Below are 18,836 nucleotides of genomic sequence, written 5' to 3'. Positions count from 1 at the left end.
CAAGCAACCGACAAGTTAAAACCTCAGACGCTCAGTGAGGGCCGTCTCTAAGTCCCAACTCCCCACTTATTCAAAGCTCCCTGGGCAACATGACTCAGAACACACCAAAAGTGGCTATCAGCCACCATGAACTATGCCATAAATCTTCCTTTATTAAGTTGTCTGTTGTCTGTGGAGGTCAGAAGCGGGCCAGAGAAAACGTTTACTAGGTTCATTTAAAGATTTTGTGATAAGAGTCTCTCAGCTTTGTGGCTCTCCCAGCCTGTGGGGGAATTCCACAGGAAGACCTTGAGAGAAACTGCCATTTTATTCCTAGGGTTCAAGAAAGGGGGAGGGAGAACAAAGAGACTTCTTGGAGTAAGATAGAGTGTCACTGATGCTTTATTTACATGCGTCACCATCTCTTTTACAAACTAGATTACGGTTTTAAGTGGAATACACAAGGCAATATCTACAAACACCAAGGAAAGTTAAGTACTGCATCTCTATTTCATTTGGAAAGGGGAAGATTCCCAAATCAAACTGGTTTTGATCCTTAAGAAAGGCGGCAGAGTTAATTCATGGCAACATATGGTTAGACAAAATCCTCAGTAAGAATGCCATATGATAGTGTTCGCATTGAAAGAAGGATGAGGTGCTTCAAATCAAAGTCTCAACTGCTTGACTCTCAGGTGTTTAAATATGGCCACACACCATATTTAGTTCTAGATTATATGGGATATGAGCAAGGAATTGAAACAGATAAGATAGTTTTTACAGATACTGTATACAGATTTTTTTTTCCATTCATGCAACTTTTTTCTTAAAAAAAGTTAAACATGTGAAGCCAAAATGCACAATACATTTTTTTAAATATTAACTAATTTTTCTGGTCCTCCTTCACATTTGTTTACATTTCCCATGTACATAATGTGCTAGGACAAGTATACAAGAGAAGACTGATTGCCAGGCAATGAGATAATTTTAGAGAAATAAGTGACCAGACACATAGTTCTTAAAAGCAGCCGCACACGTATTTCTGGAGTGTGGCAAGAGGCCTCATGACCAATCATTCATCAAAGAAAAATACAAACAGATACAACTAAACAAGAGGAAAATATTCCATTCATTTAAACTGCATAAAATGTTACCCACTTAAGATTTAGATAAAATATACTCTTTTATTTGGGCATCCGCTTCAAGACCTCATTTGACAGGCATGATTCCATCAGAACTTCACTTCCTCTAGTAGTACTCTGCCTCCCCGGTCTCTGAGAGAGGCTAGCTTTTTCGTACCTCTTTACTGGTGATTGCATTTCTACCAAAAAAAAATTTTTTTTTTTAACATTATGCCTAATCATACAATGTTCACCCAAATACAGCAAGAAAAATAAAACCAGAGTTCAGAGCTGTTAGGGTTTCCTTTTTGCTTTCAGAGAGGATGAGTAACATTTTTTTTTTTTTTTTGACACGGAGTTTCACTCTTGTTACCCAGGCTGGAGTGCACTGGCATGATCTCGGCTCACTGCGACCTCCGCCTCCTGGGTTCAAGCGATTCTCCTGCCTCAGCCTCCAGAGTAGCTGGGATTACAGGCATGCGCCACCATGCCAGGCTAATTTTGTATTTTTAATGGAGACGGGGTTTCTCCATGTTGGTCAGGCTGGATAACATTTTTATTTCCCCTCGCAAGTCCTTGGCACCAACATGGAGGACTTCTTTTTGACTGCTTTATTCTTCATGGCCTTTTCCAAGAGATTCAAATGCTCCTTATTCTTTAAGTGGGGTTCACTAGGTAGAGGCAAAGTCTGTCCCCACCATCTTTAAACTGCGTACAAGTTTGGAAGCCACCTGAAATCACACCCTGAGCGGGGCATACTTGTCCTGAGTAGTAAGCCATGGTGTCCTCTCCTCAGGGTGGGGAAGCAACACACACAATGCTAAAAATTAACACCAAAAACAAACACAAAGTCCGCCTTGTACTACACATGTGTGACTGATCCTCCCATTAACAGGAGTGACAAGCTTCTGAATTTTTAAAATGTGTTTCAGCAATCATATTGCAGAGGAAGCAATAAAGGAAACCAAGCTCAGATTCATTCACAGTTAATGGGGTACACTGAGCCTGGCAGCCAGTTCTCATGCCAGGACAGTGAAGGCTTGTGATAAAGCTCTTTCCTAGCTTTGGTAACAGGTATCAGGTTCTGGAGCCCTGGAGAGAACAGCAGATCCCAAGAGCGCATGTCATGTTTTCAACATTAGGTACTCTTCTAATTTCTCATCAAAAAGTAGGCGGCTCCCTAGAGCAGCTTATTTAGAGGCCAAGGGTGGCCTCGGATAGTTCTCATCATAAATCAAACATTACAGCTGCCAGGCCCCTTGAGGCTAAGCATTCTGCTGATATGCTCCAGATCAGAAAATTATTGTTAGGGACCTGTGACACTCACTCAGAATGTGACATGGTGGCCAACGGCTGGCCTGTCCTGAAAGCAGGGTCTCAACATAAGGGGCAGAGGGCTCTGGCAGCACCCCTGCCCACTTCAGAACCAGGCTAGTCTCTGGGGCCCTGGCCTCTCTGCAGGTGGCTGAGGGTGAGGGTGCCGGGACCCTAGACAGGCTTCACTACCAGATTCTCGGCTGACCCTCTCCAGGGGCTGGTGGGTCTCGCAGTACTGATGCTGCACTTGACTTTACCCTGGTCTCAGCTCTCCACAACACTCTACATGTAGATGCTGTTTTAGTTACTTGAAAAAGAAAAAACAAAACAAAACAAAAAACCAAAGCATTCCCTCTTCATTCTCCTGATCTGTTTTGTGCTGCCTTGCCCTTGTACCTTCTCTGTCCCTTCCTCAGCTGTTTCAGATTAAATGATAATCTGGTTCTAGGACATTCTGTAAGACATTCTGCCTGAAATTCAACAAACGCTAGAAAAGGAGAATAAATGAGATACCATGTCTGAAAAGAATTCAACATTTTAAAGTTGAAACACATTGGAGGGTTGCCTTTCTCACTCCCAAAGCAGCTCCCAGGGTCTGTAAAACTGCAAAGGTAAGTAGCTATTTTGTTAGTCACTTTGCATGTTTCTCTGAACTCAGAAGTTCTCAGGACCCTAATGCTGGAAGCACTCTGGAATTCTCCTATCCCCCCACCCTTTTACATCTCGCTCCCCACTCTAGCCCCCATGCTACTAGTGCCTCTGCAATGCATCCCCACACAGGGCAGCATCCCTTAGGAAGCTTGGAGAGGCAACCCTCCTTCACTGCTACTGGAAAGTTCTTGCATACAGCACATTACTAAAGAATCCAGGAAGTGGCTAGCATTATTATAAAGGAATATAGTAAGCAAGTCTGGCTCACTGACAAGCAGACCATATGAATAGAATACATACTTAAAAAAATTACACATACTTTAAAAATGAAGATTATAAACATGTAGCAGTTTAGAAAAGGCAATGTGCTACAGTCTACTATAACCACAATTGCACAACAATTTACAGATTCAGTAAAAGGCAGGGTGAAATCAACAGGGCCATCGCTCAAACATGGCAACCCAAGCGAGGCAGGAGACGTGTGACAATACCAAATGGAACTCTCATTATGCTAGGAGCTGTGATCACCACCAATATCACCCCCAGAGGAGTTATAAAGCCAAGGCGCACAAGGGGGCCCCTGGTGGCCGGTGGTGTGTGCAGGGGGTTGGGTGGCACGTCTGTGTTGGTGCCCACTGTCACGGTGCAAGCATCAGCAAGAACTCAAGCAGGGAAGTCTGTGCTGAAATACTAGCCTGTATTCCTAAGGCCCATGCATAAGGTTCCATTTTTGTACTGTACATGATAAAATATATTTATACATTTATATGCCTAATGCTTTTTATGCAAAGAAAAGAGTCTTCATATATCACTTTGGAGAAGTATGCATATACTGTGCTAATCAGAGCATCGTTATACCAATTTCTTATGTACCAAAGGTGGTCCCAACTATTCCGTCTACCAAAGAAGGTAACGAATATAATCACACTTTCCAGGTTAAACAGAAAGCACCTATACAGCACCATAACTTTTTGAAAACACAACAAAATGAAATCCATAGAAGCAGAAAAAAAAGTTAAAACTGCCCTATTTTGTACTTCCATTGAGTCACTTGTACAATTACAACCTAAGCTTATATTTAAAAAATCAGTTTGTATGCTATTGCCTCTCACTCATACACTTCTAGCAGATCAGATTATATAGCAAGGCTGAAAATAATCAAGGATGTGTATTTAGGAAAACAGTGAAGTTAGAACTGCCTCAGCATTGACTTGGGTTTTTACTCTTCGCACATTTCTCACTGCAAGCTTAATGCTCACCTGTAAGTTCATTTGTTCTGCAAAGCAAAACAGGACTTTTTTGTTTTTTTTTTTTTTCCTTTTCTTTCTCCTTAAAACTAAACCCTTTAGTGACATTTGGCAATGAGTGGAGAGCTGAGCTGATTTCTTTCCTGAAAATATCAATATTCTAGTTTCTAACCAGCAGACCAACACTGTTCACATTAGCTGAGGACACTGACAGGAAATCACAGGCCCTACTGATCTGGCACCCGTAGACTTGGTGCTGGGGTCCCGTCCACAGATCACCCTGACTCAGAACCGGAAACACACTGGGCCGGACGCTGTGCTCCACTCCTTTTGCCTATGCACGGTTCTGTCCTGGACGGGTGCACATAGCAAACAATTGTGCCATTGTTCAGTTTTTAGAAAAGGATAATTTTCTACCAAACAAAAGAAGAAAGAAAATCCCCCTTTAGTTTATGTAATTTGTTAGTTTATGGAGTTCCATGCGCTCAAAAGCTTGTGATGCTCGAACCCGGAATGGTAACTGGTACAACATTTTCTTTCTGTTTTTAAATTTGCTAGGGGAAGGACGGTTAACATTTTAACAGAAAAATACCGCAAGTTAATGCATGTGAAAAACTCAGAAAGTCAAAGGAAAACAAACACAAGAACAACACTTAAAACGTCCCATAAACCATCGCAATATTAAAACACCACAGAATGGCCGACGGGGGCTCACGGTGTGCTCTGAATGAGGGTGGGTGGTGCTGAGGGGTGCTGTCCTCCACTGGCAGGCGGCTCACCACCCTGTACAAGGAAGATTTTGCATACTTTTTAGAGTTCTGTTCCAAGGGTAAGTGCTTCACCCAGGGTAAGGGGCCATTAACAGTCTCTGCTGGGTTAGGAAAATGGCGTGGGATTCACAAAGGTGTTAAGCTGTAAACGGTATCACTGTCCACTTGCTGAGAGCAGATTTGGCAAAGGGTTTTCTCTGTAGGTCTTGTGTCAGTTTGAGGGTCTAAAGGAGGAGAAAAGAAAACCAGAGATCATTAAGGGCACTGCAACAGCAATAGTGGGCACCTGAGGGCCACCTGTCAAGGCCTTCCATCTCCCTCACCCACCTCAGAGCCCAGGGCTAGCACAGCAAAGCTGCTCTGCTACACCAGTTTCAAAGGTCTGAAATCCTAAGGACAAAGCACAAAGATTACTTACCTTATTTCTCATGTTGTCCTTATTACAAAATGCTCTGAAGTTGAAAAGCCCAAAGGGAATGGGATCATTCACTTTGGGAGATAAAGAAAGCCATATTAGGGGTGTTTTGGTGGGTCCTTTTTAGTTAGATGTTCAAGGTGCAGATAAGATTCTGTTCTAGACTTCCGGACTGAGGGATTTCCTAGGACATGGGACTTTCCATGCTAAAACAAGGAGAGCCGCTCATCCTAAGTAGATGAGTTATACTTTTCTGGTTCTTCCCTACTGGCTATGTGGACTAACTGAATTGCTTACCACCCTTTTCCACGAATACCCCAACACCAGTGGAGATGAAATGGCCACTTTCTATAAAGGCCTTAATAAGTCTGCAGTGCTGGGTGTGGGTAATCTTGACTCCCCTATTCCCCACCATAAAAAGAGTAAGTAATTACTAAGCGGGCCATCTTAAGAATTTAAGAAATGGGCCGGGCGCAGTGGCTCACGCCTGTAATCCCAGCACTTTCGAAGGCTGAGGAGGGCAGATCACGAGGTCAGGAGATCGAGACCATCCTGGCTAACATGGTGAAACCCCGTCTCTACTAAAAATACAAAAAATTAGCCGGGCGCGGTGGCGGGCACCTGTAGTCCCAGCTACTCGGGAGGCTGAGGCAGGAGAATGGCGTGAACCTGAGAGGCAGAGCTTGCAGTGAGCCAAGATCGCACCACTGCACTCCAGCCTGAGCGACAGCGAGACTCCGTCTCAAAAAAAAAAAAAAAAAAAAAAGAATTTAAGAAATGGGGTCTTGCTATGTTGCCCAGGCTGGACTTGAACTCCTGGGCTCAAGAGATCCTTCCGTCTCAGCCTCCTGAGTAGCTAGGACTACAGGCACGCCAATGCACCTGGCTTAGGAATTTGATTTTTGTATTACAAATTTGGAGAAAAAAAATTACATAACACATATATGGACAAGAAATCCCCCATAAAACACCCCATTAACAATCAACAACATTATTATTATTCTGCCTCCAATTATTATTTTGTCTTCAATGGAAAGGCACAAAAAAGGTGCTCTTAGAGCATCTGAATTTATACAAGTCTTATCAGATGTCATGTGACCACTGGGCCCAGAAAAGTTAAGGGATTAAAAAAAAAAAAAAAAGTATATTCATAGAGCTGTCTTAATAGCAAAAGGACGTGACATGACAGACCTCCAGACATAAGATTCTTTGTTTATGGAGATAGTGTTGGCAGTTATGGTAGTAAAGAAACGGCTCTAGGCCAAGAAATGGATAGAAAAGTGGTAGTGAAACAACATGAACTCGTGCTTTTCTCTCCAGACAAGGTAAATAAGTAATGAAAAAAGCATCAAAAAACTCACACACAAAATCACATTATATACATCTGCTTCTCCCACCTTTAGAGGTTGTACCGTAGGGTCATCAGGAATTCTCATGAGTGTACTGTAACTTCAATCTCTTCTGTGACTCTGCACTTGCTGGCAATCTTACCTTTCACTCTCAATGTTTGCAAACACAGCAGGACTTAGTATTTACAATGTTACATGCCCATGGTCATATTTACTTATCCTTGTTAAAGCTCCAAATTGAAGAATTTAGGTTGTTTTACTGGAGGTAGGGACAATAAAGTATAAAAAGAAGCCTCTTTCTTCTTCCTGTCTATCCCTAGGTTTTAGTTTCCCTGGCTGATGGTTTTTTGGGGCATTCTTTGCTTTGTAAAGCTACTAGATAATATTACCTTGGACTATAAAATAATGGCTTGTTGATTCTAGAGGGAGTAAAAGCTGAAGTAAATACTAGATCTCAGCATCTGTGAAGACCGTAGCTTGCTAAAGTCAGTGCTATTCTAACTACTCTACCTTGCCCTGCAAAGTATGAATGATTAGATAGCGTTTCACAGGCACAGTCCTCTGGAAGAGGATTTGGTTTTTTCCCCTCACAATAACACTTAATAAACCACCATCCAACATCACTATGTGATCAGTCATCAGGGGACTCCCATCCCCAAGTCCCCATCCTGACTTACTGTAAGCGCCGAGGGAGAAGCTGTAAAGTACTACCTAATTCAGATCTCTCTCCAGTTCCCTTGGGTATTAATTATGCAGCCACAGAAGCCAGTGCATAATGGGAAGGTGACACACTTCATTCCCCAAGTACAGAGACAGGGAGTGTGGCTTGCTCCAATGTGGGCTGGGCCAACACAGCAGGAAAGAGGACAGAGGACACCCATGAGCCCCTAACAGAGCACAATTTTGAGCAGAACAGGCCATCACCCCAAAGCCAGGAGTAGGAGGCCCATGTGGGACAGTCTAAAGCACTAACCAACCACAGTCCCCAGGCTTAATATCCATTCCTTCATCAAAAGGCCCCAATCTTCAGAGAACTCCATTATTAAAAACGAGATGTGTGAATCACCACTTTCCCTTTCTGCAGATTGGGGTTGGGGTCACCTGTGAAGCTATGTTCTACAGCTTCCGCTGAGGTCCCCCAGGCAATGCCCTCCCAGGGAGGCCTGCTCAGGAAACCACCTTGGTGCTTATAGGCTGAATTGGTAGAGGATTTGGCCCAGGTATAGAGGCAACTCTTGCAGAGGACAAATTTAATACAGAAACTCCCACTCCAGAGAACAGAAAGGCCTTTGGTTTCCTCTGTGACAGAAGGAAAACAGATTGTAAAACACTGAAAATATAGAAGATAAATGTTGAACAGAAATACAATTAACCTTCTCAGAGGAACACCAGAATCACCATTTACAATGAAAACTGGGGTAATAAAAATAATCAAAAGGAAAGCAGCAGCTCATCTGTCTTAGATTTTTAATGGCTCTCCTGTGGCTCAATGTTTGTACATGCTTATCTGATTCAATCAAGGACAGAAAGAGTAGAGGGAGCATATTAAGTGATGAAACCCAGCTACTGAGCTGGGAAAGTCAATGATACTTAGCTTGGGTACAAGTTTCATGGGTTTTAAGAAAGCTCATGTCATTCTTAAATAGTTTAAAGTATGACATTTTAGTTATACGGTTATTTAGTTAACCGTGAGATTTATGTGTATGTGTCGATGCTCTTCTAGTTTAAAAACACATCGGATTAAGGGGCCAGGCATGGCGGCTCATGCCTGTAGTCTCAGCACTTTGGGAGGCTGAGGGGGGCGGTCCCTTGAGACCAGGAGTTGGAGACCACCCTGGGCAACATGGCAAAACCCCGTCCCTACCAAAAATACAAAAACTAGTCTCATAACCCGGTCTCAAAATAAATAAATAAAATTTTAAAATGCTGTAAGAAAACACATCAGATTAAGCAAAACTTTTGAAAAGAAAATGAAGCTACAGCTGATGGAATTGTAGTTTACTCTGCAAGTACTAGGCAATATGCCAATTAACAATAAATACAAAGATGCTGTTCTGTCCCATCAGTGACTTTCATTAATAAGGGAAGACGCCCTCTCTCCCCTCCCTGCCCAATAAACAAGTTTGAAATCAATTGCTGATACAAAGAAAATGAAATGGGGAGACCAAATAAATGATGAGGTCCATTCTAAAAATATCTACGGATGCTGTCATCTGGTCTCTGGTGAGAGCAAGTCCCTCTATAATCTTGGCATCTGTAGGGAAGACAAGTTTCTGCCTAATTATCACCATAAATCACATGATACTCTAAGAAAGGGAAATGCCTCCAAAAACTACACAAAACATAACAACCCCAATCAACTTTAATCTGGGAATAAAACATAAATGTTCCTACTGCTGTCCTCCCACAACTTAATCCACTGTGAAACATTTTTCAGTAGTGTTTTTATCTTCTGGGCAGAGAAGAACAGAACAGGACCCTAATACTAAATAGGACATGGAAGGAAAAAGAGATCATAAGTTGAAACCTTCACATTCACAAATCCATGAAGGTTATCAACTGTTTTCCTAGTTAGACAGAACTAGATGATTTGAGGAAAGTTTGCCCCACAAGCAAAAATAAAGTGAAACACCACTTTCCTCACTCTTTAAAAAGAAAGATAATTTTAGCCAAACTTTCAACCCCTAGAGCAAGCTGGGGACTAAATATGGAACACTTAGGAGAGATAAGGAATTGATATTAATGCAATCTGACAAGGAAGTCTCACATGGACTCCAGGAAGACAGGGTGTAAAACACAAGCTTGACTTGTGTAAAGGCTGCCTTGCACTGCCTCCCAGTAATTCCTGGGCTTGGTCAAGGCAGCAGGTGAACCAGTCTGGGAAGGCTGGTGACAAGGTCCTCCAGAGTCTTCGCCTCCAGGACACCTCAGAGCCTAGACCTGGAGTGGACTGCCCTTCCAGCCAGCCTTTGTGCTGTGCTGATAAAACCCAAGGGAGACACAGGGAGAGAGGTAGCCATCCTCATACTTCATAGCTGAGGGACAAAGGGCTGGGGGCCACCTGCTGGGAGGCACCAGCTTTTCTGTTGCTTAAATTTAGCGATTATTAATGGCTAAAATAAGTTTAAGAATGCCCTATCTTAAACTATCTGATCTATCCCTATCAGAGATAGGGACAGATAAATCCCTATCTCTGACTTTATGTTGAGGCAGGGATTATGTTAACCAATATTTTTCACATATCCAGAGTCGACTATGAATACTAATGTGGCAGAAATATGACAGGTATTGATTTACTGTCAATAGCAAAGTTGCAGAGATTTAGTATTTTCTTAAGATTCTCAGATTTGCAAACCACGTATAATAGTATGTACACTTTTAGATTATGTTCTTTTTAAAGGCCCAGTTTTTAGGCAAAAAGCCTTTAAAGGGTGTCTGGATCCTCTCTGAATTCATGGTTATTTAACTTTATTATAATATCCAAAACCCTTAGCTGGTAAAGGCCTGTGGGATCAGGTTCCACTGTCCTCATCCATGCTTTAAGGCCCACTACTGCTTCTGGGAACAAACCCTCCGCTTGTCCGATGGGTCAGGTTCAAAGACACTTTGCCTGGACGGCTCTTCTTACCACCCAGCAAATCACCTACATGTTCAGATGGCTCCTGCAGCCCCACCTTCCCTACGCTATCCTTGACTCAATTCTTAAGTCACTCACCTAGTATCTAATCATAATGTGCCTGAAATGGCAACTTTTTCAGGGACTTTGAGCTCCTAACATGTTGAACTCCTTGAAAGCTAAGCAAAGTCTTCAAATCAAATCAAACACTTATGGAGCACCTACTACTTTAAGAGCACTGTCTGGTATCTTCCCTCGTGCAGCACATATTCCAGTGAAAGAAACAACAGTTTTCTTGATGTCCCAAGGAACCTGGTAAGTTGAAAGTACTAAATGGATGCACTATAAATGTTGGCTGAATCAATCAAAGAACCATCCTCCTGGAAGAACCCTCTCTTCCTCTTTGCCAACTCAAACACTCAGCATCCTTTCATTGCAACTGCTTCCATGACCTACTCATATTTGCCAAGAGTTAGTCTGAGTCCAGGCAGAACCTACTGCCTGGTGGGATATGACCTAGGATTTGCAGTACTTTATGTGAAAAGGATGGTTTCCAATCATTCAATTTCTAAAACTCCTATTTCTTACAGATGAAATCAATACAAGGCACGATTTTAACATTCAACTAATTCTCAAGTATTTAATAAAAGGTTTATCTTCTCCTATCCTTTCTGTACATCCCACCATAGATATCCTTACCACCAGCCCCCAAATTAAGAGTCTTGCTACTCTAAGTTTCAAGCTGCTGTCAATAAAGTGATTCACCTTTTAAAAACAATAGGGAATTGTAGTACAGGAGGAAATGTTCAGTCATCAAACATGACCTGCATATCACAATGTTTATGTTTGCTGGGTGTGACCCTATCCTGTATGACTCTTCACTGCATTTACTGGGGTGTGTGTATGTGGGGGGCGGGGCAGGGATGAATGATAGGAGTGTGCAGGCTGGGATGCCCTAGATCCCTGGAGGGTGGGTGGAAATGCAGGTGTAATTGCCAGTCCATCTCAGGGTTTAGCTACCAAATACTGAAGGGAGGATCTCTAAAGCGCTCTTTTCCTGCTTTAGATACACAGGATTCTGAGAGACAATCTAATTTTTCCAAGTGATTCTGAAACTGAAAACACAGAATCAGCTAGTTGAGTTCTACAAATAGTCCAAACCACCTGTAAGGTATGACCAGGACACACAGGTGACACAGATGGTGGCCATGTAACAACCATCACACCAGTGCCACAGAGGAACTGAGAGGAACTCCAGGGTGGCTCCACAACTGAGGGAGACAAAGGAGTGCCCTGGCCAGGTGTGCAGATTCCGGTAGTGAGGGGAATCTGCGTGTGTGGCCCCGGTGGCCCTCTTCTTACAGCTTGGCCTGCACCTGCACCTTGGTGTAAGTGCCGGCTGGGGCTGCCTCCCATGGGGCACCCCACTCCAGCCAGCAGGGCAGTCTGAGTAGAACCTGACGAGTGGGGCAGGGAGTGCTTTGGCTTTTGTTACTCGGTGGGCAGGCAGCATTTTCAGGTAAACATTAGGGTCACCTTCCAACAGGTCTATCAGTCAAGACACTTTCTGATTACTTATAACTACGTTGGGCGGTATTGCTGTCTGATCTTTTTTGAACATACAAATGACCAATGAAAGCCCCAATTAATTACAGTGGCATATACAGAAATGAAGGCCTACTGGAAATTAACTGAAAATTTCGACCTCAGAATTCTTGGACTTCTACCTCTGGCCTTCTCTTCTTAGTCACTGATTTCCCCTGAAGAATCAAGTCAAACACTCCACACAAACAGAAACACATTTAAAAAAAAAGGAAACAAAAAAATCCCACAACCTTATGGCTCAGACTTCTTGCATCAGAGACAAAGCAGGAAAAGAAGAGGGAAGGGAGACGGAGAGAAAGAAGAAGAAAGAGGATGAGAGAGGAAGAGACAGGGAGAGGGAGAGGGAGGGAGAGAGAGGAGACGTACTGACATCCAAACCTTCAATCAAACCAAGACTGTCAATTACAGTTTTAGCCTTCAGAAACACTGGAATTACCCTCTGAGACTTCGTGACTAAGTGATACTATTCTTTAATAAACGAATGCCATGGATTTTAGCAAAAAATAGGTTATTAAAAAACAAAGCCGACCTAAAATTACAAACTAAGGTCCACATCTATTACTGAGCAGGAAAGACACAAAAGACCTGCATCCCAGTGTCCAGTGGCTCTACAGGGCGATGTATTTTAGTCCCTGGCCTGGCTGCTGCTTATTTAGAAGCGCTTAGAGAAGAACAGCCTATTTTTTTTCTGGGTTTTCACTCAACTTAGAATTCGAAGAGATGTTAAGGGTACAGTGACTGTCTTTTCTGAACCTCAAATTGTATCACAGTAACTAATAAGCGATAAACCACCAGCTCTGGGGAGACCCAAGGCCAGACTACTGCCAACACCATGCTATCATGTGCCAGTCTTTCTGCTCCAAGACAGCCCTAAGAGGGACTGCAATGGCTCTTTATCTCTCTGAGTGGCTTGGGATGACCGGCATTGGGAAGACAAAGATGGCATTGCCAGGTTCCTCCCAACAGCAGGAGAGGCTCAGGCTTGAGGCTCTAAGGCAGCTGAAAAGAGCAGGGTGGGGCATCTCCTTCAGCAGGACTTGCTGCTAGCCCCTGTGGACACCGATGGGTACCCATGCTAAGCAGAGCTGAAGCCAGACAGCTGGGACTTCTCAGGCGATCCTTTAAAGATGCTAATGGAGCACTTTGGATACCACAAACAGCTCTCCTCAACACCATTTGTAGCATTAGTTTCGTTTAACAGCCCCTTTAATGAGCACCCCCAAACTGGCAGGCAGAACTTCTAAGGGACATTGACTCTGGAAATAAAAGTTCTCACACCAACAGGTAACTGTGATCCCTTTTTAATGAAAAACCCAGGGGAATCTAGTTCACTGAGGAAAACAGTCACTCTTTCTGCCCATAGTTTAAGACTGGCGTGGCTGCTTCTGGCTTCCACTATTAACCTCTGGAGCTGTTTTAAATCACAATAAACATTAAATAACATGTTTAAAAAGGTGTCAAAAGACATTAGCCCATATCAGAGGTAGTCCTTCTAGGAGCTCTGTGAGGCAAGTTTTAATTTTAACCTCATTTTATAAATAAGCAAACTGAAACTGAGAGATGAGGGACTTGACTGCAGGACACACAGCCATGAAAAAGGCAGCCTTCTGCTGCAAGTCCCACAGCTCCTCTGCCATCCCACAGGATCTCACTTAACTTGGAGTGGGCTGCAGGGGAGGCTTTTTTAATCCACAGCTCCCTCAGAGCTGAGCCCCAGGGACAGTGTGCTGAAGTGGGCGGCTCATGTCCAACCGTGATGAACTCACCAGCTCTAGAAATCAAACATAAAGTGCTCTGCAGAGCTTTTAAAAGAAACCAGCATCTGGATTCAGCCTGAACTCTGACCTGTTAGTATGGAGCTCCTCAAGTCTTAGGGTCTGTGTTTTTGTGGAATAGACCATGTGATAATGGAACAGAACCCCTGAATGCAGGGGTGTCCCAGAAAACCAGGCACATCAGGCTGCCACACCACATGCACCTCTGCTCCAACCTTGTGAGGAAGGCAGTCTTTGGCTCTACGACAAACTGTCATCGCCACTGCCACCACTTTCTCCACTAGGCCACGCATTCTTTAAGGGAGGGACCCTTTTTACCCACTTCTATCCCCTGTGCCCAGCAGGTACTCAACAGATGAACTGTGCTTAATGATTTCAGGCCTTTCTTGAGCACTTCTACCAACACGGGCCTACCACTTTGCCGGGCAGCTAGCCCATGCATGGATATGGCTGAGAAACACTAGATATATGACAAGGTCATACAAAAAACTCAGCAAGAAAGGGAGGAGAAGGGCAAAGAAGCCCTGTCTCCAAGGGGGTGCTGACTCCTTTCAGCAAAACTCTAGGACAGCATTTCTTAAGGGGGTTCCTTAGAACACTGGTGCTATGGTTTCTTGAAGAAAAAGGATTTGATTCAAGATATCAAACACATTTAGGAAACACTGCATAACATATCCTACCCTAAAAAGTTCATAATGTGTATTAACCTTTAAGGCTCTGAGAAGTTCTCTTGGAAATAATGCAATTTCTCTTTGTTTAACATGGTATTTCTTAAACTTATTTGACCACAGAATCCATTTTCCATTTCACTATCTTGAGGATCTATGACTATCTTGAGGATCTAGTATTCCGAGAAACATTTTGAGAAACATTGACTTACAGGACCTCTAAATACTAATTTGCAAAACACATTTTAAATTCATTTTAGTTTCTGAAACTTTAAACTTCAAAACAATTTGGAGGATTGGGGAAAGCAATACTTTGAAATTCAATGAACACATCAACAAAACCAGGGTGAAGCAGGTGGTGTCTCCTGCAAGGTGGAGAATCTCCATCTTGGGATGAAAGTCCAGTAAATATGTGTCTCCAAGTCAGGGAAGAGAAAGCAGTCAGCAAACATTCTCCCACTTGGCCCAAGACCAAGGAGGACCTCTAGGAGGCAATCTCTCCAGCAATGGCAAAGCGGATCCCAGAAAGCCCCCTTCTCCCATCTCCATATAGAAAGATAAGCCTGTGAGAAGCACAGGTGGCCCCTGGGGGAAGACTCTACTGATAGAAAATGTTGTTTACAAGATGCTGCTGAGCATTATGAACACTCTAAGTTATAAATAGTAATTCTGGTGATTTTCACCCTGTTTGTGTTCTACATGAGCTCTCTGGACAGAAGAGACCTTCCAGAAAGCTGTTTATAAATACAACTGCTTGAAGGAGGAGCCACTCAGGCTCTGTCTCCATGCTTAGCAGGCTGGCCAGAGGTGAAAACAGGTGCATTTTATAAAACCAACAGGCCCAGGAAGAGCAGCCTTCATGCTAAATGTCACTGCTTTCCAGGAAAAAACAGCGTATGTAGCCAGTGTACCAGCCTCTGCAAAGAAAACCCCTTTTTATGGCCATATCAATTTTCTCTCGCGCTCATCGACACTAAAAAGATCCCAACATTCTCTCCCTGAATGACAGTTCAGACTTTCGGCTTTTTTTAAAAGGTAAGAATAAAGATCCCTGAAGATGCAGAATTCTTCAGGCTAGCATACTATAACCGAAGACTATAGTCATAGGTACAAATAGCAGAATATATTCTCCAGGTAATTCATAACAGATTCATATTTATCAGATGTTACATTCCCTAAAACAGAAATATCTACATCAATAAAAAACACGATACAGTCTATATTACCTGTATTTGGTTAGAATTAGTCCTATCCCCAACATAAATTTTAAAGACATACTAGAATCACAGCATTCAAACATCAGTCAAACAAGCATCAAAGATTTACTCCTTTTGGGAAGTAGCCTACACGTAAATTCCAAATGGCTTCCAATACTGCAGCCTGCTGATGCCACACTAGTACACCACTATTTCTTTCTAGCTCTGTATCATAACATAGACTTCACCAGGTCCATTTCACAGACAAAATGTTAGGGTTCAAGTTTATTTAGTTTTTATTTTTTTTATTTTTTGAGACGGAGTCTTGCTCTGTCACCCAGGCTGCAGTGCAGTGGCGCAGTCTCAGCTCACTGCAAGCTCCGCCTCCTGGGTTCACGCCATTCTCCTGCCTCAGCCTCTCCGAGTAGCTGGGACTACAGGCGCCCGCCACCACGCCCGGCTAATTTTTTTGTATTTTTAGTAGAGACGGGGTTTCACCGTCTCGATCTCCTGACCTCATGATCCACCCGTCTCGGCCTCCCAAAGTGCTGGGATTACAAGCGTGAGCCACTGCGCCCGGTCTTCAAGTTTAAAATTATACATACTATGCACCTTTAAAACTTGATGAGGCTGTCTTCTTTTGACAAATGAGAAACCTAATATTCTACAAGATTGAGTGATGTGGCAGAGACAAGAAGTGAACCACCCCTCCCCTCTCCATCTGGGCTTTTGCTGGTGGATGCTTCCCAGTCTTTATGTAAAGTACTTTAAACTAAATATTGGGCTGCTCCCTAATGGTGTCTCCAAATGTCAAAAGATGAAGATGAATGAAAGTTTGTGAATGCAGGCATCTTTGATATCAAATTAAGGTGAGACTGAAGCTGGTTTCCCTCAGAGAGGACACATGTCGAACTCAAGAAGGCTTACCGGAAGCTCGAGCTTGCAGCACCACACCAGCTCATGACCATCTCTGCCACCAACTGTAAGCACATGCACCAAGCTTTATGAACACCTGAGAGAACACAGTGCCCTTCACGACCCAGCAGCCAGCCCTCCAAAAAAGTATGGCTATTTTTTCTTTTCCAGATAGACCTAAGGGTCAAAGAATTCTACACGTGGTCTAAAATGAATGACGTGTGAAACACCCAGCCCGCCAGAGAAGCATCTTGCTGCAGCTCCCCAGCAAGACTGCCTGTCAACTGAGCAGACCGCTCCATTAACACAAGGCGGCTCAGATTCAGCATCACATGACCTTCTTCTGTGAGCAAGCCAGGAATTCAGTCTGGAGAAACACTAAGAAGTTAAACCAAGAAAGTTATTAGAGAGCAACTCTTGGGAAGCTGGGACAGTTAATTTGAGAGAAGCAGGGTGTCAGAGTCTGACCTCAGCCTCGTTCTGTGAATTTAGGAGAGTCTTCAATGAAGTGACAGTCACAGTTAAGTTTTAAAGTAAAAAATACACTTCAGGTTGCATGTGCTCCTGGCTGCTGAAAGAACAATGGATTCTAAGCAAAAATGGAAATCCTAAACCAGAAACTAGATCCCCTCACAGCCCCCACTGTCCTTTGGATGGTTCTTTAAATGCTCTGTGGTCATACTGAGCTAGTCTACTTTCAGGAAAATTTGGTGACTTTTCATTTTTAGCTGAAGAAGTTATCTTCTCAAAACAACCTCCCCCAAAATATTCTGAGGCGAAGATGACCCTAAAGCTTCATTAGGATATAACAATGAAATGCATTATCCTCAATGCAGTCATTTATTATCATCACCAAAATCAGAGTTCACCAGATAAACTTTAAAAATCTAAGTATTTAGATCTCCCTTAATTTTCTGTACAATCCTTTAGAATTACACATATACGAGAAAGATCTGCTGTTCAACCAAAAGGGAAACCAACACTTGAAAAATCAGACAAAAACTGATACTACATTGTCTTCTGAACACATATTTTCCAACGAACTAGAAAGTGGCCTCCTTACAATTACACTCAAATTAAAACTTACTTGTGTCTTTAAAAGCCTATTTTTAAAGGAAGACAAACCATTTATTCTTTTAAAAGCCAAACATCTACATTTCTAAAGACAAATCTTCCATATTCTTCTCCTTAAAGGAAGACAAACTAGTCTTCTAAAGGCCAAATATCTACATTTCTGAAGTCAAATCTCCACTAGCCCAAGTTCTGGTATGGAACTGAGCTGGCTGGCATGGAAGTACTACCACCCTACTTAGCTTCCATTACAGTCTTTTCACCATCTCAAGGGCTATTAAATGACTGAAATCAGATATCTGAGTTCCATTAGGGGTCTCTTAGGCCTGAGAAAGTTGAGAGGCTTTAGCATCACAACACTCTTAACATTCCCCTTTCTGCAACCACCCGTGAGCTGGAGTGAGCTCACCATAGGAGACCCTTGTTAAGTCCTTCATCATGGCAGAGGGTTAAACAAGGCTCAAGTTTTTACAGCTTTGAATTCCCTTGCTTTTTACACCACTTAAAGAAGCCTGTAAGTAGCTTGCTGAGACTAAAACAAAACAAAGCAAAAGGGCTGGGGCACGGAACAGAACCTGTTAACATCGAGGTGGCTAGGGGTGCAAACCTGTTGGTAGAAGATCCCAGTGTTCATCTTACTTCTTGAGGAGGAGAGTTTTTAGGGAAAGCTTGTCTATCATCTGCTACTTTGACTCCAGTTCAGGGCACTTCCCTCCCCTCCCCGCTTTTTTTCTAACCAGCTAGAGAGAATAAGGAAGAACTACTATGGGGGTTCAAGCCATTTAAGAAATGAATCTAGGCCGGGCACGGTGGCTCACGCCTGTAATCCCAGCACTTTGGGAGGCTGAGGCGGGCGGATCACAAGGTCAGGAGATCGAGACCATCCTGGTGAACACAGTGAAACCCCATCTCTACTAAAAATTAAAAAAAAAAAAAAATTAGCCAGGCGTGGTGGCGGGCGCCTGTAGTCCCAGCTACTCAGGAGGCTGAGGCAGGAGAATGGCGTGAACCTGGAAGGTGGAGCTTGCAGTGAGCCGAGATCGCGCCACTGTACTCCAGCCTGGGAGACAGAGCAAGACTCCATCTCAAAAAAAAAGAAAAAGAAAAAGAAAAAAAAAGAAATCAACCTAGCTCTGTAACCTTG

General features: G+C 43.1%; 1 protein-coding gene across 15 annotated transcripts in view, besides 1 other annotated feature; it reads right to left on the bottom strand.

The window, feature by feature from the left end:
• Nucleotides 1–358: 358 nt before the first annotated feature.
• Nucleotides 359–18,836, bottom strand: part of FOXO3 (forkhead box O3) — a 124,950-nt gene continuing 106,472 nt past the window's right edge. For all 15 annotated transcript variants that reach the window (NM_001415146.1, NM_001415140.1, NM_201559.3 and 12 more), the window contains one exon: nt 359–5,306. Coding sequence is in view for 1 of the 15 variants with exons in the window: in NM_001415150.1 (NP_001402079.1) it covers nt 5,220–5,306 (87 nt within the window). In the remaining 14 variants the exon portion in view is untranslated. The remainder of the gene's footprint in view (nt 5,307–18,836) is intronic.
• Nucleotides 11,193–11,487: a silencer, noted in NCBI's record as "tiled region #11560; HepG2 Repressive DNase matched - State 14:Gen5', and K562 Repressive non-DNase unmatched - State 19:H4K20". NCBI's record gives its function as "represses a minimal TATA promoter and a strong SV40 promoter by Sharpr-MPRA in HepG2 and K562 cells {active_cell/tissue: HepG2 | K562}" and the evidence as "EXISTENCE:reporter gene assay evidence [ECO:0000049][PMID:27701403]".

The sequence above is a fragment of the Homo sapiens genome, chromosome 6 (genome assembly GCF_000001405.40).
Source record: "Homo sapiens chromosome 6, GRCh38.p14 Primary Assembly".
NCBI lineage: Eukaryota > Metazoa > Chordata > Mammalia > Primates > Hominidae > Homo > Homo sapiens.
This window is presented reverse-complemented; position numbering and strand designations above follow the sequence as displayed.